Below are 26,094 nucleotides of genomic sequence, written 5' to 3' on the forward strand. Positions count from 1 at the left end.
TTGGCTTGACTTCATTTTCCCTTTTGGTCCCATTTGAGGGGATTTTTTTTTTTTTTTTTTTTTTTTTTTTTTGAGACAGAGTCTCATTCTGTCACCCACGCTGGAGTGCAGTGGTGTGATCTCGGCTCACTGCAACTTCTACCTCCCGGGTTCAAGTGATTCTCCTGCCTCAGCCTCCTGAGTAGCTGGGATTACAGGCATGCACCACCATGCTTGGCTAAGTTTTTGTATCTTTAGTAAAGACTGGGTTTCACCATGTTGGTCAGGCTGGTCTCGAACCCTCGACCTCAGGTGGTCCCCCTACCTTGGCCTCCCAAACTGCTGAGATTACAGGCGTGAGCCACCGCACCTGGCCTGAGGGGCTCTTGAGAAATGCCATTCACTGAAAATGAATTCTAGTACCTTCCTGGGCAAACTCTATCACCACTCTCCCTCTCCATGCCCCAGCCACCTCTGGAGGACAGGGGCTATGTCCATACCTTATAGGCTTGATTGCCAATTGTGTGACCTTGTAGCTATAGTCCCAAATCCTGAAAAATGGACCTTCTTCTAAATCATTGAGATTTCAAAGTCTTCTTGGGTCCTTTCATGGGATATCTGCAAGGCTCTTCTTGATACCAAAATCAACTCTTTATATAGATGTTTGTTTGTTTGTTTTAGAAACAAGATTTCACTCTGTCACTCAGGTGGGAGTGGTGCAATCATAGCTCACTGCAGCCTAGAACTCCTGGGCTCAAACAATTTTCCCACCTCAGCCTCCCAAGTAGCTTGGACTACAAGAATGCATCACCACACCTGGATAATTTTTCTATTTTTTATGGAGATGGGGTTTAGCCGTGTTGCCCGGGCTGGTCTCGAATTCCTGGCCTCAATCAGTCTTCCCACTACAACCTTCCAAAGCATTAGGATTACAGGCATGAGCCACTGCAACCAGCCAAAATCAGTTGACATCTGTCCATTTAGAAAAGTTTCCAAGCTTTGTGTGATAAGAACATTTGGAATGTATAATGGCTTCTCTATAAAGTTCTCATTGTATATTTCAAACATGGGTCCTCCCAGCTACCACACGTGGTTGGGAAGGATGGTGTTTCAGTCAACATTTTGTGGGTGAGATAATGGGCACAGAATACCTTGCCTGAGATCCTGCAGAGAAGTAGTCTCTCCCCCTCCTGCAGAGTCTGGGCTGGAATCCAGATGTCTTGACTTTTGATATGATAGGAAATGGGAAAGGTTGTTAGGAACGTAGTAGCATCAATCGGATGAAACCTAGGTGCCTAGGGACCCTGAAGAGCTGGTTTTGCTTCTTCCTTGGTGGGCAAGTAGTGCAGAGTTGCAGGAGTAGGACTCTGTGTCCTTTCTCACTCAGCCCCTTTTTGGTCCTTGAGGCTTGAGGATGATCACTCCCAACCCCTAGAAGTGAGAGGAAACCCATCCTTGCCCCAGATATCCAACCTGTTCCCCTGAGTATCTGGCCTGGAGTCTCAGTCACTCATTCTTATGGTCCTTCTGAAGAGTAGCGATAGGACCGATGGCTTCAGCCTCGCATCTCCTCTTATTCACAGTGCTCAAATGACACCTCCGACTGTGCCACCTACACCTTCAGCTCGGGAATCAATGCCATTCAGGAGTGGTATAAGCTACACTACATGAACATCATGGCACAGGTGCCTCTGGAGAAGAAAATCAACATGAGCTATTCTGCTGAGGAGCTGCTGGTGACCTGCTTCTTTGATGGAGTGTCCTGTGATGCCAGGTCAGGAGAGAATGCTGCTCTCTCAGCCTCTAAGGACTGGCAGCTCTGAGTACCAGGCCCCTTGCAGGAACCTACAGCCTTGATGATAGGTCTTGGGAGCAAAAGGTGCTCTTCTCACTGATGCTGCCTTTTGGAAACTGCTTACATGGGAGCTGTGTTCTAGAGTCAGTGAGTGAGGTATACATGACATAAAATCAAAATATCCTTAAACTCATTAAACTACTCATTAAAAACAAGGTAGTTGGCCAGGCATGGTGGTTCACGCCTCTAAATCCCAGCACTTTGGGAGGCTGGGGTGGGTGGATCACTTGAGGCTAGGAGTTCAAGACCAGCCTGGCTAACATAGCGAGACCCCGTCTCTACTAAAAATACAAAACTTAGCCAGGCATGGTGGTGCATGCCTGTAGTCCCAGCTATTCAGGAGACTGAGGCAGAAGAATCGCTTGAACCCGGGAGGCGGAGGTTGCAATAAGCCAAGATTGCACTACTGCACTCAAGCCTGGGCTGCAGAGTGAGACTCTTGTCTCAAAAAAAAAAAAAAAAAAAAAAAAAAAACCCAACCCACAAGGTATTAGATTGGCACAAAAGTAATTGCTGTTTTTGTCATATGGTGTGCCTATAACCTAACCTTGTATATTACCATCATGCATACTGATGACTAAGAACCATCGTTCTAAGGAAGGAAGGAAGAGATGGAGGGAGGGATGGGAGGAGAAAGGCCCATGTTCAAATATGTGAGATTTCAAACCTTTCACCTTTATGATAACACTCAGATCCCTTATAGTGACTGAGCAGTGGGTGAGACATTCTAAAGTGTTCCTGGGCTGGGCACAGTGGCTCACGCTTGTAATGCCAGCACTTTGGGAGGCTGAGGAAGATGATTGCTTGAGCTCAGGAGTTCGAGACCAGCCTGGGCAATGTGGCAAAACCTCCTTTCTACAAAAAAAATTCAAAAACTTATCTGGGCATAATGGCACACACCTGTAGTCCCAGCTACTCAGGAGGCTGAGGTGGGAAGATTGCTTGAGTCTGGGAGGTTGAGGCTGCAGTGAGCCATAATTGCGCCACTGCACTTCAGCCTGGGCAAAAGAGCAAGACCCTATCTCAGAAATAAAAATACAATACAATACAATAAAATAAAACACTAAGCCTCTTTCACCTATCTGTATATGTTAGCAGACAGATTGGTTCTTGTGAAAAGTAAATAACTGGAATCATGTCTCCCTAAGAGTTGGGTTCCAAAGTCATGTAAGGGCACAGATGATGCCCTGGGGATTATTTTCTAGGACTGAGAATTTTAATGGAAAATGTCAAGTGTTGGCTGAGAAATTCAAAAGTGGAGGAATTTGGGGACAGACATGGCACAAAGAATGTCAAGTCAGGATAGAGATGAAGGTGAGAAGATTCCGAGAGAAAACAGAAGGCAGAGAGTCTAGTTCTATGTCCATGTGTGTCAACCAGGATGAGGGGCCTTGTTTGTCATTTGATCAGGAGCAAGATGGGGAAAATGAGTCACATCTCTCACACATTCTCCCCAAAGAGAGTTGGCTCCATTAGCACTGCCCTGCCCAACTTCAGCTAAGATGCATGGGGGAGATCCCTTTCTGACCCATTTTCTTCCTCCATAGGAATTTCACGCTTTTCCACCACCCGATGCATGGGAATTGCTATACTTTCAACAACAGAGAAAATGAGACCATTCTCAGCACCTCCATGGGGGGCAGCGAATATGGTAAGGAAACCTGTGCCAAGGAGATCTTGAGGCCCTCCAATAGTGGACATGGGGGCAGCAGGACAGTGGGGATGCGGGAGCCCTCTGGAAAAGCGGGATCTCTCCCACTTGGCCAGAAACCAGGGATGCCCCTTTTTCTATCAGTGTTTCCATCAGTGTTCATGCTGGTTCCTTCCTTCCAAGTTAGTGTTTGTTTTCCTTTTTGACTTTTCTTCCATCTTTGAGAGAGCGACAGGGACATCACTGGGGTTCCTTCTGCTAGGGAACTACTCTGGTTTAAACTCATAGCTAGGGTGAGTAATGCAGGACAGGTGGTTTCCAAAGGGAGTTGAGCCCAGATATGCTGAACAGATTAGGGAAGTAGACGCACATTTATCTTAGTTCAGGTGACAGATTCTGGACGGAGCCGAAACCCAGCTTGGCCACTCACTGTGTGACCTTGGGCAAGTTACTGCGCTTCGTCTATAAAGCGGGACTAATAATAGTATCTCCCATGTGAGATTACTGACAGGACTTAAGATACAGACTTAGAATAAGACCTGCTCTGCACTCTGTTAGTCTGCTTGGACCGCCATAACAAAATACCAGAGACTGGGTGCCTTGGACAGTAGACATTTATTTATCACAGTTTTGGAGACTAGAAAGTCTAAGATCAAGGCACAGGCAGACTCGGTTCTGGTGAGGCTTCTCTCTTTGGGTTGCAGAAGGCTGGCTGTCTTCTCTCCATGTCCTCAGATGGCCTTTCCTCTGTGGTGTGTCAACAGAGAGAGGCCTGTGATGTCTCTTCCTCTTCTGATCAGGACATCAATCCTATCAGATTAGAGCCCCCTGCTTGTGACTTCCTTTCACCTTAATTAAAGTCCTATCTCAAAATAATATCCCTTTGGGGGTTAGGGCTTCAACATATGAATTTGAGGCAGAAAACAATTCAGCCATAACACATACCAAGCACACAATAAGTGCTAGTTGCTATTGTTATTACTGCTATTATTACCGTTACTAGCATTGCTACCAGTCTACCACCATTGCTGCTGCTGCTACTACCCTCAAAATAATACCACTGCAATTTCCAGCACTACTATTCCACTATGATTACATTTCTAGGGAAGGTAGGAACTGAACAGATTGGCCTGGCTTATGCCCAAAAGGAATTCTTGAAAGGTCCCATGCAAATTGAAAATGATGTGATATGTAGATATACTCGCACCAGGACAAGGGAGGGCCTGTCATAAAGGAAATCCACACTTGGAATCCTGGCCTTTGTCCCTGTGTAGTCTGTGCTCTTACTAAGTCTGCAAGAAATCATAATTCAGTGCACATATTTCATGGGGAAGAAGTAATCTGGAAACTGAAAGTGAAAAGTTGCAGAGTACTGGCTCTGCTATGGAGGGGCTGTGTGACCTCAAGCAATTCACTTCCCCTCTCTGGGCTTTGTTTGTAATTGTTTACAACTTATTTACAAATTGTTTGCAATTGTTTACAAGTTGTTTACACATTGTTTGCAATTGTTTACAAATCGTTTGCAATTGTTTACCAATTCTTTGCAATTGTTTACAAATTGCCCTTGTTTACAAATTGAATGTCAGAATAACTCTCAAAATTCTCTTCTTTCCATCCATATAGACCCTGCTGATTCACTCATCCACTTACCAAGCATGGAGTTTCTCCTGTTTGCCAGGCCCTCTTCTACGTACCAGGGACACAGCAGTGAAAAGATAGATGTCTTCTCTGCTGTTAGGAAACTTACATTTTCGTGGGGAGAGAGAGATGAAAAATGAGTACACAACTACACAGACATGATCTAGTTACAAATCCTAAAGACTGCTATTCAGGGAAGAAAGAGGCAGAGTAGGAAGACAGAGTGGCTGGGGTCAGGATGGGGGGGTTAGTTTGGATAAGAAGGCCCAGAAAGATCTCTAAGAGGAGGGCTATTTAAGGAGCAAAAGATTCATGTTAAGGTCTACACAAGAACATTCCAGGGACTAGCAAGGGCAAAGGCCCTGGGAAGGATGTGAATCAGATGTGTTCTAGAAACAGAAATAAGACCAGTGTGCTTGGAGCTTATTGAGGTGGGGAGACAGTGGGAGGAGATGAGGAGGGAGAAGTAGGCAGGGCTGTATCATCATCACCTTGATAGATGCAGCCAGGTTTATTCTGTGGCATTCCCATATATCCAGTGAGATGCCACTGAAGAGTTTCAGGTTTCAGGGAGTGACCTGGCCTGAGGTCCAATTTTCAAAGGACCTCAGCCCATACATGAATGAGCAGGGTCTCTACGGATGGAAAGAAGAGAATTTTGAGAGTTATACTGACATTCAATTTGTAAACAAGGGCAATTGGTAAACAATTGCAAATGATTTGTAAACAATTGCAAACAATTTGTAAATAAGCCCAGAGAGGGGAAGTGAATTGCTGGAGGTCACAGCCGATCCATGGCAGAGCCAGGACTCTGCAACTTTTCACTCTTAGTTCCCATGTGCACTGATACTGTGTTTACTCTGGTGCTGTGTCCGCATAGACTTCAGGGGGCAAGAGCAGGAGTGGGAGGAGAAGTTGGGCCAGTGATGAGAAACACCATTAGTGATTCATCTCTTCTCTGAGTGCCCACCCTGAGGGGTTAAGCAGCCGGAGCAATGCATCTTCTTTTGAATGTTCCGAGCTCCCCATCTCAAAGGACCACATGGAGATTCATGTCTCAGGCAGAGTGGCAATTTCCTTACACTTGGCAAAAACGTATGCTTGGCAAGAACTGTGACAGTAATACTGTGTTTGAACCCCTGTTTTGGGCTAAGCTGTGGGGGCACAGCAGAGAGCAAGTCAGGCATGCATTCCAATCTCACGGAGCTTCCAGTCTAGCCCTCGTCCACCTGTCACTTGCTAGAAATACCTGGTCTTGGGTTTGAAGCTCCTGAAGCAGTGGGAGAGGTGGTTTACCCCCAGGAAATGTTTTCCTAGCCTTGGATCACAGCAGGTTGTCTTATCCTCCCAGGGCTGCAAGTCATTTTGTACATAAACGAAGAGGAATACAACCCATTCCTCGTGTCCTCCACTGGAGCTAAGGTGATCATCCATCGGCAGGATGAGTATCCCTTCGTCGAAGATGTGGGAACAGAGATTGAGACAGCAATGGTCACCTCTATAGGAATGCACCTGGTAAGAGAATATTCTCATTTCCATAGGCTTGGAGAGAACAGATCTTTTTTTTTCCAAGGATAACCAATGGGGTGCAGCTTATGGAAAAGGGTGTTTGTTTCAAAAGGGAACATGGTCCCAGATTTTCCCATGGTTATCCCATTCATTTCAGGAGTTACATTAAAGGTTGTGTTTGTATCTTCTGGCCGGCTGCAGTGGCTCACACCTGTAATCCTAGCACTTCAGGAGACCGAGGTGAGGTCAAGAGTTTGAGACCAGCCTAGCCAACTTGGTGAAACCTGTCTCTACTAAAAATACAAAAAATTAGTTGGGTATGGTAGTGTGTGCCTGTAATACCAGTTACTAGGGAGGCTGAGGCAAGAGAATAGCTTGAACCCAGGAGGAGGAGGTTGCAGTGGGCCGAGATCACGCCACTGCACTCCAGCCGAGCAACAGAGCAAGACTCCATCTCAAAAAAAAAAAAAGGTTGTATTTGTATGGATTAATAGGACAGGGTGCCATTTGGGGAGAGAATTTCAAGACACCAGCATTTATGGAACCTATGCTGGAAGCAAGGCATTAGGACACTAACTATATATTTGTCAGTAATACAAACAGATAAGATTACCGTCTATCTTTCTGGGCTGCTTAGAGGCCTATGAGGCATGTCAATAACTGTATTAAAGCCTAGTGGAAAGTCACTCAGCTATCCAAAGTCTATTTAGCCCATTACACTCCTGTCAATTTTACCTCATTTACCAAGAACCCCTTCTCCCTCCAAATTTGACCTTTGTGGACCTCATTGGGCACTGAGAACATGCAAACCTATCAACAGAAGCACAAGTAAGCCGCAGACTCCAATCCCCGAGTCAGCCTTGCCCAATGGGAGCTGAATGGCAAGATGAAGAGTGGACTCTGATGGCCTTGGTCACTCCACTGCTTATGGAGTTTTCTTGTTTGCAGGCCTGGGGTCTTTTTATTCCAGTATCTATCTGCCTCTCCCTTTCTCTCTTTCATAGAATGACTGTTAAGAACTTATTTAGACCGGGCACAGTGGCTCATGCCTATAATCCCAGCACTTTGGAAGGCCAAGGTGGGTGGATCACTTGAGCCCAGAAGTTTGAGACCAGCCTGGGCAACATAGCAAAACCCCATCTCTACCAAAAACGAAATACAAAAAAAATCACCAGGCATGGTGGCACAGGCCTGTAGTCCCAGCTACTCAGGAGGCTGAGGTAGGAGGATCACCTGACCTCAGGGAGGTCGAGGCTTCAGTGAGCCATGATTGTACCATTGCACTCCAGTCTCGGTGACAGAGTAAGACTCTGTCTCAAAAACAAACAAACAAACAAAAACTGATTTAAAGGAGTTAGGTGCAGTGCATAGACTTGTAGTCCCAGCCACTCAGGAGGCTGAAGTGGGACGATCACTTGAGCTCAGGAGTTCAAGACCAGCCTGGGCAACATAGCAAGACCCCATCTCTACAAAAAATATAAAATTAGCCAGGCATGCTGGGGCACACCTGTAGTCCCAGCTTTGCAGGAGGCTGAGTGGGGAGGAGTGCTTGAGCCCAGGAGTTCAAGACCCAGCTTGGGCAACATAGTGAGACCCTGCCTCTATTTTTTTTTTAAGAACTTATTTAAAGAGAGTGTCCACACCAACCATACCAAGGAGTGTACCAAGCAGAGTGTATCTCTCTTCCACTCCCGACATCCAGACTTCTCCTTCCTCTCCAGAGGGACCACCACTGTTGCTACTGTGTCTTGGCAGGGATATTCTAGTCATTCAAGCAAGTGCATATAGGTATAAGCATTTCTCCTTTTATGCAAATACAAAATATTTCTCACTTAATGCTATAGCTGGGAAATGGTTCCATATCAAAACATATAGATCTGCATCATTCTTTTAAAAGATTCATAGTCTTCCATTGCGTGAATAAGTTATTGATGCAACCCCCCATTGATAGACATTAGGTCATTTCAGGCACAACTAAAAGCAATGGTGCAATGTGACGTGTATTTGCCCAGTTACTTCCTAGAAGTTTGTCAAACAGGACATGTGTTTGCCAGATTGTCCCCCAATGAGGATATAGCAATTGAGAACCACACCAGCAATATGAGAGTAGCTATTTCCCCACACTCTAACCAACATAATGTATTAATGTTTAATCTTTGCTAATCTGTCAAGAGAAAAATGGTATCTGTTATCATTTTAATTTCATTCTTTCATAATGATGTTTTTCTTTTCTTTTCTTTTCTTTTTTTTTTTTTTTTTTTTTTTTTTGAGACAGAGTGTCACTCTGTCACCCAGGCTGGAGTGCAGTGGCATGATCTTGGCTTACTGCAAGCTCCACATCCCAGGTTCATGCCACTCTCCTGCCTCAGCCTCCCGAGTAGCTGGGACTACAGTCACCCGCCACCACGCCTGGCTAATTTTTTGTATTTTTAGTAGAGACAGGGTTTCACTGTGTTAGCCAGGATGGTCTCGATCTCCTGACCTTGTGATCCGCCCGCCTCAGCCTCCCGAAGTGCTGGGATTACAGGCGTGAGCCACAGCGCCTGGCCCATAATGACGTTTTTCTTTACCTGTTTGTGGGTGGGGAGAAAGAAACAAAATCTCCTTGTGGACTATACATTTGTTCATGCCTTTATTTAAATCCAACCTTAATATCCCCAATTAAACTTCCTAGCTTTTATCCTTCACAAACATATCCTCCAGAGAAGTGGTTTCCAAACCTGGTTGATTATCAGACTCAAAGCCACTGAATCAGAATCTCTAGAAGATGAGCCCAAGGATCTATATTTTTACCAAGTTGTAGTGGTTATTCTAAGAGGCAGCACCCTTGGGAGTCTTGGCTTGACCTTTTTTTAATGTTTAAATTTAAAAAATTTTTAGAGTCAGGTTCTTGCTCTGTCACCCAGGCTGGAGTGCAGTGACACAATCATAGCTCACTGGAGCCTTGAACTCCTGAGAGCCTTGGCTTTAGAGCAATGCAGAATTAGAGGAAAAGCTAATTGTGTCTTCCCAAGTAAAAGTGAAGCTAGAATGACACAAAGTTCTAGCTATAGCTTTGCATTGGGTTACATAAAAAGATGGTGGGCAATTAGGGCTTGGATATCCGCCTGTCATTTATCCATTCAATTGACATTTTCTGAGCACCTTCTATGTGCTAGACATGGGGCACCTCAGTGTGGAGGACACCGTCCCTGTCCTGAGAGAGTCTAGAGTCCAGCAGAGAGGATTGAGTAATAAACCAGAAATAATACAAATGATTCATTATAATTGCCATAACTGCTATGAAGAAGAAATGTAAGACCATATGAGTGCATATTATGACACGACTGACCTGGGGCTCATTTTCAATGGGGAAGATGAGGTTCAAGGAAGGCTTTCCTGAGGAGGTGCTATTTAAGCTGAGACAGCGAGATGATGAACCGGAATGGAAGTATGACAGATGAAATCTGGGGCTTCACTGCCTCATGGTGCCCCATGAAAAGGACAACACTGGACAAGGGAAACCATCAAAATGGTCTTTCTGGGCCCCCAGATGCTCTCAGGAGGCATGTTACTTAGGGGCTTTGTTCCAGCATGGGAGGGAAGTAATGTGTATCAGCTTGAGCTGTGTGAATGAAAAAGGAAAAACTATCTCGAACCCTCAATCTGCTCAAACTGTGACTTGAAAAGACTTTTTTAAGAGATAGCCACTTAAGCAGCTGGGCAACTCATTCTTTTGTTCACTGGCAGATGGCAAAACCTCAGAGCACAATGGTGAGCATTTTGGTCAGACATGTCCCACACACTTTTATCTGCACCCTGAAGTAGGATCCAGGATTTGCAGCGCATCCTTCCCTTATCCTTTCGCCCTCTTCCCCCTTTTCAAACTGGTGTAAGTTACTAGAGCTTGTAAAAGTATAAGAACTAAGGAATTCTGCTCTCTTGTTTTCTTGCTCTGAGCTTGGAAATACCCACCACATTGTTAAGCAAATGTTCTCTTTACCAGTAGTGGGTAAACAAAGACATGAGTGAGTTTTCTGCTACACCTAATTTAAGATGTAGAAAATCAAAGCCACAGAGCAGGGTCAGTCAGCTCTAGGTCTGATTTATGAGCATTTAGAACAACAACAAAAAAAAAAACAGGGTTTATGAAGAGGTCAGCAGAGTGTCACTAAGAAAAACTCCAACCAAACTAGACTTCCTTCCTTTCTTCTTTTCTGATTTTATTTATGTATTGATTGATTAATAGGTGTGTGAAGCTGGTAGGCTCAGTCAGGCTGGCCAGGCAGTTGGTAAACAAAACTTCCTTTATTCACTGAGAGATTGTGTGTCCAAAGCACTGAATATTAAAAGGTGAACCCAACAGAGCTCCTACCTTCAAAGTTCCTAACTTTCAGAGGGGAAGACAAAAGTTTGTTTGCTTTTTTAAAGACAAGGTCTTGCTCTGTCATCCAGCTGGAGTGCAGTGGTGTGATGACAGCTCGCAGATCACAGCAACCTCGACCACCTGGGGTCATGGGATTCTCCTGCCTCAGCCTTCCAAGTAGCTGGGACCATAGGCACATGCCACCATATCTGGCTAATTTTTACATTTTTGTAGAGATGGGGGTCTCGCTATGTTGCTCAGACTGGTCTCAAACCCCTGGCCTCAAACAGTCCTCCCATCTTGGCTTCCCAAAGTGCTGGGATTATAGATGTGAGCCACCACACCTGACCAAAGACAAAAGTAAGCACAACTTTGCAATACAGTTTCCATCTCTGTGGAAACAGACCTTTTCTGCCTGGTTCCAAAGCTTACTTCTTAGAACATAACAGATCCTCAGTAAATATTGATAGATGACAGATGGATGGGTGGGTGGGTGGGTGGATGGATGGATGGATGGATGGATGGATGGATGGATGGATGGATGGATAGGTGAGTGGGTAGATGGGTAGGTGGATGGATGGCTGGCTGGCTGAATGGATAGATAGGTGAGTGGGTGCGTGGGTAGGTGCATGGATGGATGGATGCCCAGACAGAAGCTACTGGAGAAGGCTTTCTAAATAATGGATTTAGAAGGACAAGTGCAGGCAAATAGTCAAGAAGAGCCAGTCCAGACAAAGAATGTAGCAATTACAGAGGAGTCACAAAAAGGAGTTTATTTAAGCTGTGTAGAGAAACTTTTCAAAAAATCATTTTAGTGGAAGTACAATCAGTACACTGGAGACAGCACATTTGTAGTAATTCTAGAAAGAAATGATGTGGACCTCAGCTGAGGCAATGGCTGTGGAGATGAGCAGAGGAAATAGATTTCACGGATATTATAGCACAGAAGCAACAGGACTTGACAGCCAATGTTAGCCAGAAGGGCCGGGGGAAGTTAGATTGATATTTAGGTCCTGGCTTGGGCAGGGAGATGGAGGAATGCCAGGCTCAGAATTAGAGAATCCAAGGGCAGGGTATGTTTTTGGGAGAAGATGACCACTTCGATTTGGGACAGACCCAATTTGTTATGCCTTTGAGAAGTCAAGGTGAAAAGAAAGCATTCATTAGATGCTATGGACCTGGAGTTAAGGAGAAAACCTTGGGGGGTAATTGTAGACATGGAAATAAATGCCATCACCCAAGACCTGAGACAGAACCCTAAACATGCAAATGTTTAAGGGCTGAGCAGAAAGTAAAAGGAGAAAGAGAGGCAGATAAGTAGGAACAGAAGCCAGAAAGAGTTGGCATCAGATAAATCAAGGAAGAGAATTTTACAGAAGGTGTGACCAAATAAGCAAGTACAGTCGAGAGGTCAGGCAAGGTAGAAGGCAAAAGTATTCTCTGGTTTTGGCAGCCAAGAGGTCACCAGTGTTCTATGCCAGAGTTGTTTTCAGTGGAAGGAGTGGAACAGAAACCGAAGTGCAGTGGGTCGAATGGTGAATGGAAAATGAAGAAGTGGACGTGGGTGGACCACTCACCCAGTGGGGTTGGGGACCAGGCCCTGGAGAATGGGGAGACTCCATGTCATTACAAATCCTGTTGTACATTTTGATTCTAAAGCACATAGCCAGACTTTATTTCACAAGTTCAGTCTATGCCAAACAGGGATTAAGCGCTCTGATGGGTCAGGCGCGGTGGCTCACACCTGTAATCCCAGCACTTTGGGAGGCTGAGGTGGGCAGATCACGAGGTCAGGAGATTGAGACCATCCTGGCTAATACAGTGAAACCCTGTCTCTACTAAAAATACAAAAAATTAGCCGGGTGTGGTGGCAGGCGCCTGTAGTCCCAGCTACTCGGGAGGCTGAGACAGGAGAATGGCATGAACCCGGGAGGTGGAGCTTGCGGTGAGCCGAGATCATGCCACTGCACTCCAGCCTGGGCGACAGAGTGAGACTCCGTCTCAAAAAAAAAAAAAAAAAAAAAAAAAAAGAGCTCTGATGGCTGAGATTCAAACCCACCCCAGTTTTGCACATTGGTTGTATAATCTCTGCCTCAGTGATCTCATCTGTAAAATAGGGATGATAATAATGACGTTACTTCATGGCTGGTGAGAATTTAATGAGTTGGTGCATGTGAAACGCTTGGAAATGTGTTTGGCATATAGTCAGTGCTTAAAATATATTGGCTTGGCTGAGGGCAGTGACTTACACCTGTAATTCCAGCACTTTGGGAAGTTGAGGCCAGTGGATCACTTGCACCTAGGAGATTTGAGACCAGTCTGGGCAATATGGTGACACCCCATCTCTACAAAAAATATAAAAATTAGCCAGCCGTGGTGGCACACACCTGTAGTCCCAGCTACTTGGGAGGCTCATGCGGGAGGATCACTTGAACCCAAGAGGCAGAGATTGCAATGAGCTGTGGCCATGCCACTGCACTGCAGGCTGGGTGGCAGAGTGATACTCCATCACAAATATATACATATATATATATATATATATATATATATATATATATATATATATATAGAGAGAGAGAGAGAGAGAGAGAGAGAGAGAGAGAGAGACTATTACTATATATTTTTTAAGAAAAGAGGTGAAGAGAAGGAAAAATAACTTTGAGTGAAAAAGGAAAAAGAGGGGTTAGGGAAGGTTTCTATTGTCTTTTTTGACACCTCTCTCCTTTATGAATTTTATATATATATACATATATAATATATATTTATATTATACACTACTAGTACATTATATATAAAAGATACTATTAATAATTATACATACATAAAGGATAATGATTATTTGCCGTATGTGTTGCAAACATCTTTCCCAGTTTGTGGTTTTCTTTAGGGTACTTTTTCACATGCAAAATAGTGAATGTTTACATAGTCAAAGTCTTTGTTTTCTTCTTTAATCATTATGTTAATGAGAGTTCTTCCTCTTTGAGACCAGATACTAAATTGAGTTTGCTTCCAGTTATTTTATTATTTCATGTAATATTCTAAACCATCAGAATTTTTTTCACCGGGTACAGTGGCTCACGCCTATAATCCTAGTGCTTTGGGAGGCCAAAGTGGGAGCTTACTGCCGCTCTGACCTCCTGGGTTCAAGCAATCCTCCCACCTCAGCCTCTCAGATAGCTGGGATTATAGGCGTGCACCACCACACCTACCTAAATATTGTATTTTTAGTAGAGACGGGGTTTCGCCATGTTAGACAGGCTGGTCTCAAACTCCTGACCTCAAGTGACCCACCCGCCTCAGCCTCCCAAAGTGCTGGGATTACAAGCATGAGCTATCATGCCTGGTCTATTGTTGTTATTGTTTAATCAAAATCAAATAGCCACTAGGTAGCACAGTGGGAATCTGATTTCAGACTTGTTCGGATCCAAGCCTACATTCCTGACCCCTTAGCTAGCCTGCCTGGTGCTCCCGGTTGTTTAGGGGTGAATGACCATTGACCATAATACGGTCCGTTGAGAAAAAGCCTTCTAGAAGGGCCCAGAATTCAACCCCCTTACGCCCACGGTCAGAGGAGACCATCAGGACAGGGTCATGGGAGGGGCCCTGAGACAGCCTAGAGACCCAAAGCAAACAAAACCTCCTCAATAATGAGTCCAAGCTGGGCACAGTGGCTCATGCCTGTAATCTTTGGGAGGCCAAGGAGGGCAGATCACCTGAGGTCAGGAGTTCAAGACCAGCCTGACCAACATGGTGAAACCCCATCTCTACTAAAAATACAAAGAAATTAGCCAGGCATGGAGGCACACACCTATAATCCCAGCTGCTTGAGAGGCTAAGGCATGAGAATGGCTTACACCCGGGAGGTGGAGGTTGCAGTGAGCTGAGATCATGCCACTGCACTCCAGCCTGGGCAACAGAGTGAGGCTCCATCTCCAAGAAAAAAAAAAAAAAAGTCCCTCCCAGGTCTGCACAGGTTCAAGAAGAAAACCATCCACCTGTTCCATCCCCAGCCTGGCCATCCCTGCTGTCCCCTCCCTGGCAGAAGCAGCAGCAGTCCATTCTGAGAAACAGGGGTATAGCATGGAAACCAAGGGAAAGAAAAGCCCCCCACCCACCCCCAGAGCCCAGCTGCCACTTTAGCCTGTTGACTGGGGCTGGTAGACACCTCCACCATGCCCTCAGTGGCTGGGGGAGGAAGTCCTTTTTACTACTGGGAGAATCTCTCACTCAAACAAAGTCTTACCCAGAAATGTACACAATGGAAACAGAAATGCAGGATGAATGTAGCTGAGCCTGGGAAACCAGCCTGCTTACCGCCCACCCCGCTGTGATGGGCCCTAAAACAGGGTGCAGACAGAACAGAATTTGCAAACCTCTAAGCTGTGGCAAGACAGCAATCTTTCTGAGAAGGTGACTTGGGATTACTGGCTGGGACAAGAGTTACCACTGAAATGTGAGAACAATGGTCTGATAGCCACCTTGTCTGGGAATAGCTTGGCTGGACTGACCACCTTACAGATGAGAAGTGATTATACTGGTTGGAAGGTCTCAAGGTTGCAAGAAGGTGGGAGCTGGCTCTCTAACCCCAGAAGCTGTGGGGGCTTTGATAAAGGCCCTCCTCTTGTCACCTCCCTTCCCCTCAGGCTCTGCTGCCATCTGGGCTTTCCCCCTTAGCACTGTTTATACCTTAAAGAATGAGCTTGCTGGGTGCAGCGCCCCATACCTATAATCCTAGCACTTTGGGAGGCTGAGGTGGGAGGATTACCTGAGCCCAGGAGGTCAAGGCTGCCATGAGCCATGATTGCACCATTGCACTCCAGCCTGGGTGACAGATCGAGACCCTGTCTCAGAGAGAGAGGGTGGTGAGCTAAGGACTCCTATACAATTGTCTCCTTCCCCCAAGATCTTCAGAAAGAAGCAGAAAGAATCTGGTTTGATATAAATGGGCTCCGTGTCCCACACATATACCCCTATACCTACACATACATGCCCACATCCACTCACACACATCCACACATACCTATGTGTGCACACACATACACACTTTTACATGCATAAGTGTATGCATAGATACACATACAAACTCACACATATGCACACATATACACACTCTTTTTTGTGTGTCCCTAGGGGTCAGGATAGAAGTCAAAATGTCTTCCTAGCCTCCACAAGCCAGCAGTTCTAGAAAACTGGAAGCTGGGGCCGAGGGAAGAGCATTCTGTCAAAGTTCATGCATTCGAGGCATGAACAGAAAATTTGCTCCATTTGCTCTACTTCTGGTTGCTTCGGAAAACAACCTGAACCTTTCAAGAGCTGTGAGTTTGATAAGCATCGTTGCAGAATGAAGGGCCATTGAGTACTCAGAAAGCGTTGAAATCCAAATGGTTTCTCATAATCAGTTTCCTGGAAGCAGGCCATGGGCTGGTTTTCAGGGTAGAGGGAGCCCCAGCCACCCCTGCTGGCTGCACTCGGCTTGCCTAAGTGGACAGACCCCTCATCTGGATGCCAGAGTATTATGCTTTCCTACCCCAGGAAGCTAGAGCCTGTAGCTGACACTCTAGACTCTGGGAACAGTTCAGCAGGACCGGGGGGACCAAAGGAACGCTTCTGCCCAGGGATCCTGCTGCTTGGAGAAGCTTAGAGGATGGCAAGGAATTGTGACCTCAAGGAAGGCCACTGCTTGGCATCTTTGCACCTCTGTGCCCAGCCCAGCCCTGGTGTGCACTAGAGGCCCTGCATGCATTTGCTACCCATCTATTAAGTCTATTTATTCTGTACTGACATAGAAAGACACTCACTCTTGTTAGTGAGAAGGGCGGGTTGCAGGGCAAAGTAAATGTATGAGTCCATGTCTGTCTGTCTGAGATGCAAGATCTGATCTGCTAGTGCGGGCACCCTGGGAAAGAGGGGAGGCCAGACAGCCACTTTCCCCTTTGTTTGCTTCTGTTGTTTAAACAGTTTTAAATGAGCATCGTCAATTGCCCTGGAGGTACTTGCAGCTAATTGAGGGAGACTAATGGGTCAGCAGATGAAATGCAATACAAACAGAAAGGGATTATACCAGTTGAGATGGCTAGTTTCCACCTGCCTCAAACCTCTTAATTCCTTCCCCCTCTACCCGTTTTCATTCTTTCTTCAAAGAGAAAATAATTTTCTTCCCTCCCACAAATCTGCCATTCTTTTTCTCTTTACCCCCATCTCCCCAACCAAAAAAATAAAAACAATTATACATGGGCACGTGGATGCACACAGCACACAAACACACAGTTGTAATAAACTGGTCACTATTTATCTTCCATTGAGTTGCTGACCTTAGAAGATGTTATCCTCCCACCCCCATTTTTGCTTGTTTGGCTTGGCTGGATTATTTATTTGCAGTGACAAATATTAAGCTAGAGCAAAATTTAGTAATCCACAATAAAACATCATTGAAGCCAGGTGCAGTGGCAGGAGCCTGTGGTCCCAGCTACTCAGAGAGGCTGAGGCAGGAAGGTCCATTGAGCCCGGGAGGTAGAGGCTGTAGTGACCCTTGATTGTGCCACTGCACTCCACCCTGGGTGACAGAGTGAGACCCTCATCTCTAAAAAAAAAAAGCAAAAAAAATTATTGAATAAGGATTTTGAATTTTGAGTGACAATGCTGTTTACCTCCTCTCATGATCAGGGTAGCATTCTACTCTGTTGAGCTTTCCTTAGCTTTTTTCTAAGAAAGTCAACATCCTTCAAGTCAACTTCTGGGACCAGAAAACAAGGCAATGGGTCCTTCACCTGAGCGAGAATCCCAAGCACTCACAGTCCCTGCTCCCGCTTCCTTTCTCTCCCTTCCCTTCCCTTCCCTTCCCCTCCCCTCCCCTCCCCTTCCCTTCCCGCCCTTCCTTCCTTTCTCTCTCTCTCTTTCTTTCTCTCTCTTCTTTCTTTTCTTTTTTCCTTCCTTTCTTCCTTCCTTCCCTCCTTCCCCCCTTCCCTCCCTCTCTCTCTCTCTTTGTTTTCAAAATAGGGTCTTCCTCTGTCACCAACGCTGGATTGCAGTGGCACAACCATAGCTCATTGCAGCCTCAAACCCTGGACTCAAGGAATCCTCCCTCCTCAGTCTCCCAAAATGCTGGGATTACATGCATGAGCCACTGAGCCTGGCCCCTGCTCATCTTTCTAATCCCTCCTCCCACGTCCCAGTGGATTTGCCAACTGCAAATTCATTTCATTCAGACAATCAAATCCAAATTTCTCAGCTGGGCATGATTTGGCCTCAACCTCCCCATCTGACTTTATCTCCAGCAATTTCTCTATTTTGCCATTTTCAGCCATACCAGCCCATCTTGCTTCAAGCCTTTCCTGTTTGCTCTACCCAATCGTACTCTGTCCACTTCATCCTCTTTTTTAAAGATAGAGTCTCACTCTGTTGCCCAGGCTGGAGTGCAGTGGTACGACGATGGCTCACTGCAGCCTTGACCTCCTGGGCTCAAGTGATCCCCCCATCTCAGCCTCCCTAGTAGCTGTGACTACAGGTGTGTGTCACCATTCCCGACTTCCTGTCCACTTCTTGACAAGACCAGCTCTTTCTTGCAGTTCCACGCTAAGCCAACAGGTCCCTTTTTCGGAAATACCTTCCCTAATCACTCTATGGGAAAAACTGCCCATCTGCTCTTAACGCCTCCAGTTTCCCTACCCCATTTCATTAAACACCATCCAGATTTATCCAAAATATCTTGTTTATTTATTTGCTTGCTGACCATTTGTTTACCCCACTGGAAGGTACGTTCCAGGAGAGCAGGGAACTTATCTATCTTGATCATTGCTGATTTCAGTGTCTACCACAGTACCAGGCACCTAATAGGTTCTCACTAACTTTTCATTAAATGAATGACCAAATAGCTTCTCAGCTCCCAAGGGCTGCTTGCAAAGTCCCCTGTCTGGTGCTCCTTGCAAAGCCCCCGCCTGGGTCCGGGGGGAGGACAGGGCTGAGTGTGTGCTGCTGTGATTGCAGACAGAGTCCTTCAAGCTGAGTGAGCCCTACAGTCAGTGCACGGAGGACGGGAGTGACGTGCCAATCAGGAACATCTACAACGCTGCCTACTCGCTCCAGGTAACAGATTGGCAGGGGCACCCAGCCCTGGGTTTATGGCCCGGACCCAGGAGACAAAGTTATATCTAAGCTGGGGTGTGGCTTGCACCAGGAACTCTGGTGAGGATCCCTGGGGTTCATCCAGAGACCTCAAGAACAAATGATGCCGGCTGGTTCCAGTCCTCTGCAGTTCGTCTGTAACCAGAGCTTAATTGATACACCGAGGTTTCTGTGGAACTCAATGTACAGCTGAGACAGGCCCACCTCCTAAGTAGGCCTTGGCAAGGGAGGAACAGGAAAGAAGCGGTCTGGGAGAGACACTGGCTGAAGGGTCAAGAGCATGGCTTCCGGGCCTGCTGGTGCCCCTCTCTGGATGATGGCCTTGGGCCAGCTGGGTTCCCCTCAGCAACCACAAGGGGAGGTGGGATTGGATCAGGGGCTGCTAATTTGCAGCTCCCAGTCGCCTTCCAGGTGGCATACCTGGTTTTTCAAGAGCCTGGATGGTGTTCGAAAGTCAAGGAATTTCACAAGAAAATCCAGATTTCCAGCCTCTCGAAAAAATGAAACGATACAGCAACATTGAGCCCATATTTCCTGCAGGATAAACAGTGGGTGTAGCTACCCCAATAAATGAAGCAGGTGTTCTCTGGCTCCCACAGTTTTCACTACCCCTCCAGTATGTCACTTCCATCACTGTCTCCTGTAGACATCTGACTTTTCAACACTTAAGTGAGATGATCTGTTCTGCCTCCTCTCACATTCTGGGAATTTATAGTTCACCTCCTACCAGGATACCCCAGAGAGTCCATGAGAATCATCCCAGCAGAACAAAAGGACCAGAAACCTTCAGCACTGAGTCTTCCAACTTAGATAAGAGCTGAGCTGAGAGGTGGTGTAGACACTGAGTAAAAGAGGACTTTTGGGCCAGGCATGGTAGCTCATGCCTATAATCCCAGCACTTTGGGAGACAAAGGTAGGAAGATCACTTGAGCCCAGGAGTTTGAGACCAGCCTGGGCAACATAGCAAGACCTTGCCTCTAAAAAAAAAAAATTTGTTTTAATTACCTGGGCATACTGGTGCACACCTGTAATCTCAGCTATAAGGGAGGCTGAGGAGGGAGGATCCCTTGAGCCTAAATGTTCAAGCCTGCAGTGAGCCATGATCACACCACTGTACTTCAGCCTGGGTGAGAGAACAAGACCCTGTCTTTAAAAATAAAAAAAGTGAGCTCATCAGAAAGATACTTCTGGATGACATTTAGTGAGAACTACCATGCACACACACACCTTACATGTATCAATTCATTTCATGCTCACAACTTCATGAAGTTGATATTATTATAAAGAAAGCAAAGCATCTGAGAGGTTAAGTAACTTGCATGATGCCAAACAGCAGAAAAATAGCAAAGATTGGATTTGACCTGAGTAGCCTGCCTTCAGGAACTCTGCCATTAGCTTTTATGCTATAAGCTCCATGGATATTGTGGTAGCTTATGATCCATGAAGATCCAACATGGAGGGGTTGGGCTTGAGAATAGGAACACAGGGACTGTGTTTATTTCTCTCTGTTTCTTGACAACTCCTCTAATTTTCCCACTTATCTTTGTGTTGGCACCCACATGATGGAAAATGACCACCCAACTACTGCAGCCCCAGCTCAGCCCCATCTCCATATCTCAGTTAGTCTAAATTCTTAATACATCGGCCAGGTGTGGCTCATGCCTATAATCCCAGCATTTTGGAAAGCCAAGGTGGGAGGATCACTTGAGGTCAGGAGTTTGAGACCAGCCTGGCCAACATGGTGAAACCCTGTCTCTACCAAAAATACAAAAAAATTAGCTGGGCATGGTGGTGTGCATCTGTAATCGCAGCTACTTGGGAGGCTGAGGTGGGAGGATCACTTGAGCCCAGGAGGCAGAGGTTGCAGTGAGCTGAGATCATGCCACTGCACTCCAGTCTGGGCAACAGAGCAAGACTGTCTCAAAAAACATAAAAAATAAAAATAATAAGTAAATTATTAATACATCTTCCAGGTTGGGCCCTTTGCAGTTCCGGGACCATGCCCAGCCCAGTTGGCATAAGGGGCAGGTTCATGTGGTTGGCCAAGGTTAAGGGAGGCTGACCCCCTGGGCTGAGGGATGTGCAGGAAACTCCCTGACATCCCTGAGCAAAGACATGAATGGCATTCCTGGGTCTCCTCTTTCAGATCTGCCTTCATTCATGCTTCCAGACAAAGATGGTGGAGAAATGTGGGTGTGCCCAGTACAGCCAGCCTCTACCTCCTGCAGCCAACTACTGCAACTACCAGCAGCACCCCAACTGGAGTGAGTGAGACCCAGCTCCAGCCTTGCATGCCCCAGGACCAGGGTCAGCCTAGTCCTGGCAATAGGCACTCCTGGGACTCCACCCCTGTTGCCTTTTGCGTGAGGGAGGTATTGGTTGAGAGCCATTAACTAGAGTTTTACTTCTGTTGTCAAGCCTGGCTTAAATTATACTTTGCAACTGACCACCTTAGTCAACTCCAGGAGGTAGGAACGGTGGATATTACCTTTTCACAGAATAGATAACCAAGGCCCAGAAAGGCTAAGTGGCTTGCCCAAGGTCACACAGCCAGAAAGGAACAGAGCTGGATCCAAACCAAGGGTGGTCTGACCTTCAACTCACATCCTCAACCGCCATTGCTTTCTGTTTCCCAACATCACAATGCAATATGTGTTTCCAGAGAGTTGGTAGAAAGTGGGAGGAGAAATCATTAAAATGAGACTGCGGGGCTGTCCTTGGTGACCTGGGGATGGCCAGGAAGGGTCCTGTGGCTCCAAAGCTCATGCTGCCCTCTCCCTTGTCCCTCAGTGTATTGTTACTACCAACTGCATCGAGCCTTTGTCCAGGAAGAGCTGGGCTGCCAGTCTGTGTGCAAGGAAGCCTGCAGGTATGTGGACCCCAAGGGGTGAGACGGGTGGCTGGGTTGGGTTGGGCTGCCTACACTCATGCTGTCCCCTCCTCCCTTAGCTTTAAAGAGTGGACACTAACCACAAGCCTGGCACAATGGCCATCTGTGGTTTCGGAGGTAAGTTCTTCTGCCCACCCTTCCCCACTGAAGCCCCCAGCCTGGAGCCCCACTGACATTTTTGCTGTGTCCTCTGGCCTGGGACATGGTCCAGGGGGAAAAGAATTACCTTGTGGAGGCTGGGGGACAAGTTGGGGAGCCTGAGGCGGGAGGCTGGCCCTAGCCTCTCAGGCACCCTCAGGCCCACGCTTTCTCTCTCCGTTGTAGAAGTGGTTGCTGCCTGTTCTCACTTGGGACCAAGGCCGGCAAGTAAACAAAAAGCTCAACAAGTAAGTTACCTCTACCCTGTTCCTCTGTCTCTTCCCACCACAGCCCCCAGCCTTCTCACTTGCTTCTGTATGTGTATGGCCAAATCCTCTTTTTTTTTTTTTTTTTTTTTATGGAGTCTTACTCTGTCACCCAGGCTGGAGTGCAGTGGTGTGATCTCAGCTCACTGTAACTTCTGCCTCCTGGGTTTCAGCAATCCTCCTGCCTCAGCCTCCTAAGTAGCTGGGATTATAGGTGCGCAACATCACATCTGGCTAATTTTATATTTTTAGCAGAGATGGGGTTTCACCATATTGGCCAGGCTGGTCTCGAACTCCTGACCTCAAGTGATCCACCTCCCTTGGCCTTCCAAAGTGCTGGGATTATAGGCGTGAGCCACCAAGCCTGGCCCCCTCTCCTTTTCATTCACTCACTCATTCATTTCCTCAAAGCTGGGAGACGGTGAACTCACATCTGTGAATCATGCCATGTGAACTCACATTTCTCTAAGCCATCACTATCTCCCTCATGCGCACTGCTGGGCCTGCCTGCCATGAGAGCCAATCTGGCCAATCTTGCGTCCAACATTCATAGAGCACCCCCTAGGTGCCAGGTGCTGTGTGAGGTGCTGGGGGAACCAGGACAATCAAGCAGACATAGTCTCTGTCCCCCGAGGTACTTACACTCTAATGAGAAAATAGACTTTGACCAAGCAATTGCAAACCATTAAACCAAGTGTTGCAAGCTGGTGACTGATCCTTGGCCCAAATCTAGCCTCATGAAAGCAACCCATTATTTCCAACTTTTCCTGAAAATTCAAAAGTTCTGGCAAGAACGACCCTCCACTGTTTTGTAGCACCAAACAGCTGAGTAATACTTGCTCTTTTGGCTGAGTCATGGTCCAGTTCACCATCGTCCTATCAAGAGGCAGTTTAGTGCAATGGTTAAGAGCATGGACTTTGAAGCTAGATCTAAATGAGTTGGAGTACTGGCTCAGCCAATTATTGACAGCATAGTCTTGGACAAGTTCCTTAACCAATCTGCATCTCAGTTTCCACATCTGCGAAATGAGGATGATGAAAATATACATACCTGCCTCATAGGGCTGTTGGTAGAATTCAATGAGTTAGTTCACATAAAGTTCTTACGACAGTGCTTGGCAACACAGGAAGTGCCCCATAAATGCTTGTTGCCATTGTGCCTATTATCATATTACCTCAACTACCCTGCTCATGTACATTACCTGTACATACTTGAGATTGCAATCAATCAATTACAAATGTCAATGTTTAATGAAGAACAGGGTACAATGGCAGTATGGCTGGGTCGACTGACTTAATCTGGAAGTTGGGGAGCAGTTCTTGAGTGAATGAATGACCTGTGGACCAGATCCAGGCTGGAGATATGCTCTGGGGTGTAGACGGAGCCCTTATGGGCCAGGTTCTAATATCCCCAAGGAGCTCAGTGCCTTGGCCATGCTGCCAGCTTGGGTAGGAGGGAGACAGCCATGCTGAGGACTGGTAATCTGGTAGGATGCCAAGGCTCTTGATTCACCTGTTGGAATTTTGCAGGACAGACTTGGCCAAACTCTTGATATTCTACAAAGACCTGAACCAGAGATCCATCATGGAGAGCCCAGCCAACAGTGTGAGTAGAGTGGCTTCCTTCCAGGACCTGTCCTGGGCCTACAAATGTGAGCATCTTCCTGGCCTTGGGGAGCAGAATCAGGGTAGGGGGTTCCAGCCTACTCTAGGAGGGCTGTTGTAGGCTAGCCAGGTCTCAGGTCGGAATGCACAGAGTAAGAGGAAACAGGAAGGCTGCCTGCTTCTTCCTCCCAGCCTGTGCAGGGTCGGGGCTGACCCGTGGCTCCCTTGGGAATCAGGGTTCCTGTGTGAGGCCAACTTGGGGGGAGGTTCCTCTTGATGGTGTGGCTTGGCCTGTCTTGCAGATTGAGATGCTTCTGTCCAACTTCGGTGGCCAGCTGGGCCTGTGGATGAGCTGCTCTGTTGTCTGCGTCATCGAGATCATCGAGGTCTTCTTCATTGACTTCTTCTCTATCATTGCCCGCCGCCAGTGGCAGAAAGCCAAGGAGTGGTGGGCCTGGAAACAGGCTCCCCCATGTCCAGAAGCTCCCCGTAGCCCACAGGGCCAGGACAATCCAGCCCTGGATATAGACGATGACCTACCCACTTTCAACTCTGCTTTGCACCTGCCTCCAGCCCTAGGAACCCAAGTGCCCGGCACACCGCCCCCCAAATACAATACCTTGCGCTTGGAGAGGGCCTTTTCCAACCAGCTCACAGATACCCAGATGCTGGATGAGCTCTGAGGCAGGGTTGAGAAGACAGATCTAGTCAGGACCACCAGCCATGGTCTAAGGACATGGATCGGGTGCCCCCAGACGTGTGCACAGGGGACCCTCTGCCCCACTCTGGGCTTTTCAGATACTCTGACCAAAAAGCCTGCTTTAAACCGCAAGATGGGGCCTGGGCATGCGCAGGAGGAGCCATCGGGTACTACGCAGCAACACTCACAACTGTCCAGGCTGAGATAAATCCCGGGACCTGAACTATTAGCACGTCACTAGAGACTGGGAGCCGAGGCAGTGGTGCTGGCCCAAGTGAAGGCCAGAGTGAGGACTGATGCAGCTCTTTACGGGTCTTGAGAGGGAAGGACTCTTCCAAAGCCCCAAAGCCGAGGGTTTCACCCACACTGCCAGCCTGGGTTGGGGCCCAAGGATGTGACCTTGAGTGTCAAGGCTGGACAGCTACTGCCAGATGCCAAAGATAGGAGAAAGTGCCAGCCCTGAAGCTGGAGCCGTTTGTGAATAAACTGTTCTTCATCATTGACACTGGAGAAAGGTGTCCTCCATGCCCTCAGGCAGCAGAGAACTGGCCCAGAGCCCTTGGAGTGTTGGTGGAGATCAGAGTGCCGTGGTGGAGGTCTGGGACTATGTCAGAGTGTCCTCACTTTGGGGCATGGGTGGGTCCAGGAGATGGATTTAGTTATTCAATTTTGTGGATGAATAAATTGAGGCACAGAAAGATTAAGTTACCGGCCCAAGGTGACACAGTGAGGAGGTGGCAGAGCTAGGATTTGAACCCAGACAATCTGACTTCATGATTTTGCATCCAATTCGTGTCTGTGCCTTTTAAAGGGTGAGGTCTGTGTCACTTTGGGTGGGGAGGGGGAGCATGGTGGGCCATGCTCTGGGCAGCTGTTCCAAGACAGAGCTGACCCTTCCATTACCAATGGCCTGTCCCTCACCAACAAGCCAACTGCCACAGATGACCCACTTCATACCACATTCACATCTTTCCACCTGAAATGGCTAACAGGTATTAAATCCTTGGTTGGTGTTTAAAGCCAACCCAAGAACAGGGTGTTAGGTACTGTTTTAAGCACCTAGATAGGTTAGCATAGGGGACTGCAAATGGTGTTCCGCAAAGCAAATCCTGTTTTTGACCATGAACTAAGAATTTTATTTTATTTTATTTTTTATTTTTTGTAGAAATAGGATCTCACTATGTTGCCCAGGCTGTTCTTGAACTCCTGGCCTCAAATGATCTTCCCACTTCAGCCTCCCAAAGTGCAGGGATTACAGGCACAAGCCACCGTGCCCAGCCAAGAATTTTTATTTTTGCTTTTAAATAGCAAAAGAAGAAGATTCTGTGACTCATGAAAATGATATGAGATTCGAATTCCAGTGTCTATAAATAAAGTTTTATTGGTACACAGCCACA

General features: G+C 46.8%; 1 protein-coding gene across 1 annotated transcript in view; it reads left to right on the forward strand.

Moving 5' to 3' along the window:
* Positions 1-26,094, forward strand: part of SCNN1G (sodium channel epithelial 1 subunit gamma) — a 34,139-nt gene extending 8,045 nt beyond the window's left edge. Inside the window, exons 4-13 of the mRNA NM_001039.4 lie at positions 1,563-1,753; positions 3,382-3,485; positions 6,475-6,638; positions 18,961-19,059; positions 21,245-21,362; positions 21,889-21,967; positions 22,048-22,105; positions 22,313-22,374; positions 23,923-23,998; positions 24,300-26,094. Of these exons, the coding sequence (NP_001030.2) occupies positions 1,563-1,753; positions 3,382-3,485; positions 6,475-6,638; positions 18,961-19,059; positions 21,245-21,362; positions 21,889-21,967; positions 22,048-22,105; positions 22,313-22,374; positions 23,923-23,998; positions 24,300-24,680 (1,332 nt within the window). The 3' untranslated portion in view covers positions 24,681-26,094. The remainder of the gene's footprint in view (positions 1-1,562; positions 1,754-3,381; positions 3,486-6,474; positions 6,639-18,960; positions 19,060-21,244; positions 21,363-21,888; positions 21,968-22,047; positions 22,106-22,312; positions 22,375-23,922; positions 23,999-24,299) is intronic.

Source organism: Homo sapiens, chromosome 16 (assembly GCF_000001405.40).
Source record: "Homo sapiens chromosome 16, GRCh38.p14 Primary Assembly".
In the NCBI taxonomy this organism is placed as follows: domain Eukaryota; kingdom Metazoa; phylum Chordata; class Mammalia; order Primates; family Hominidae; genus Homo; species Homo sapiens.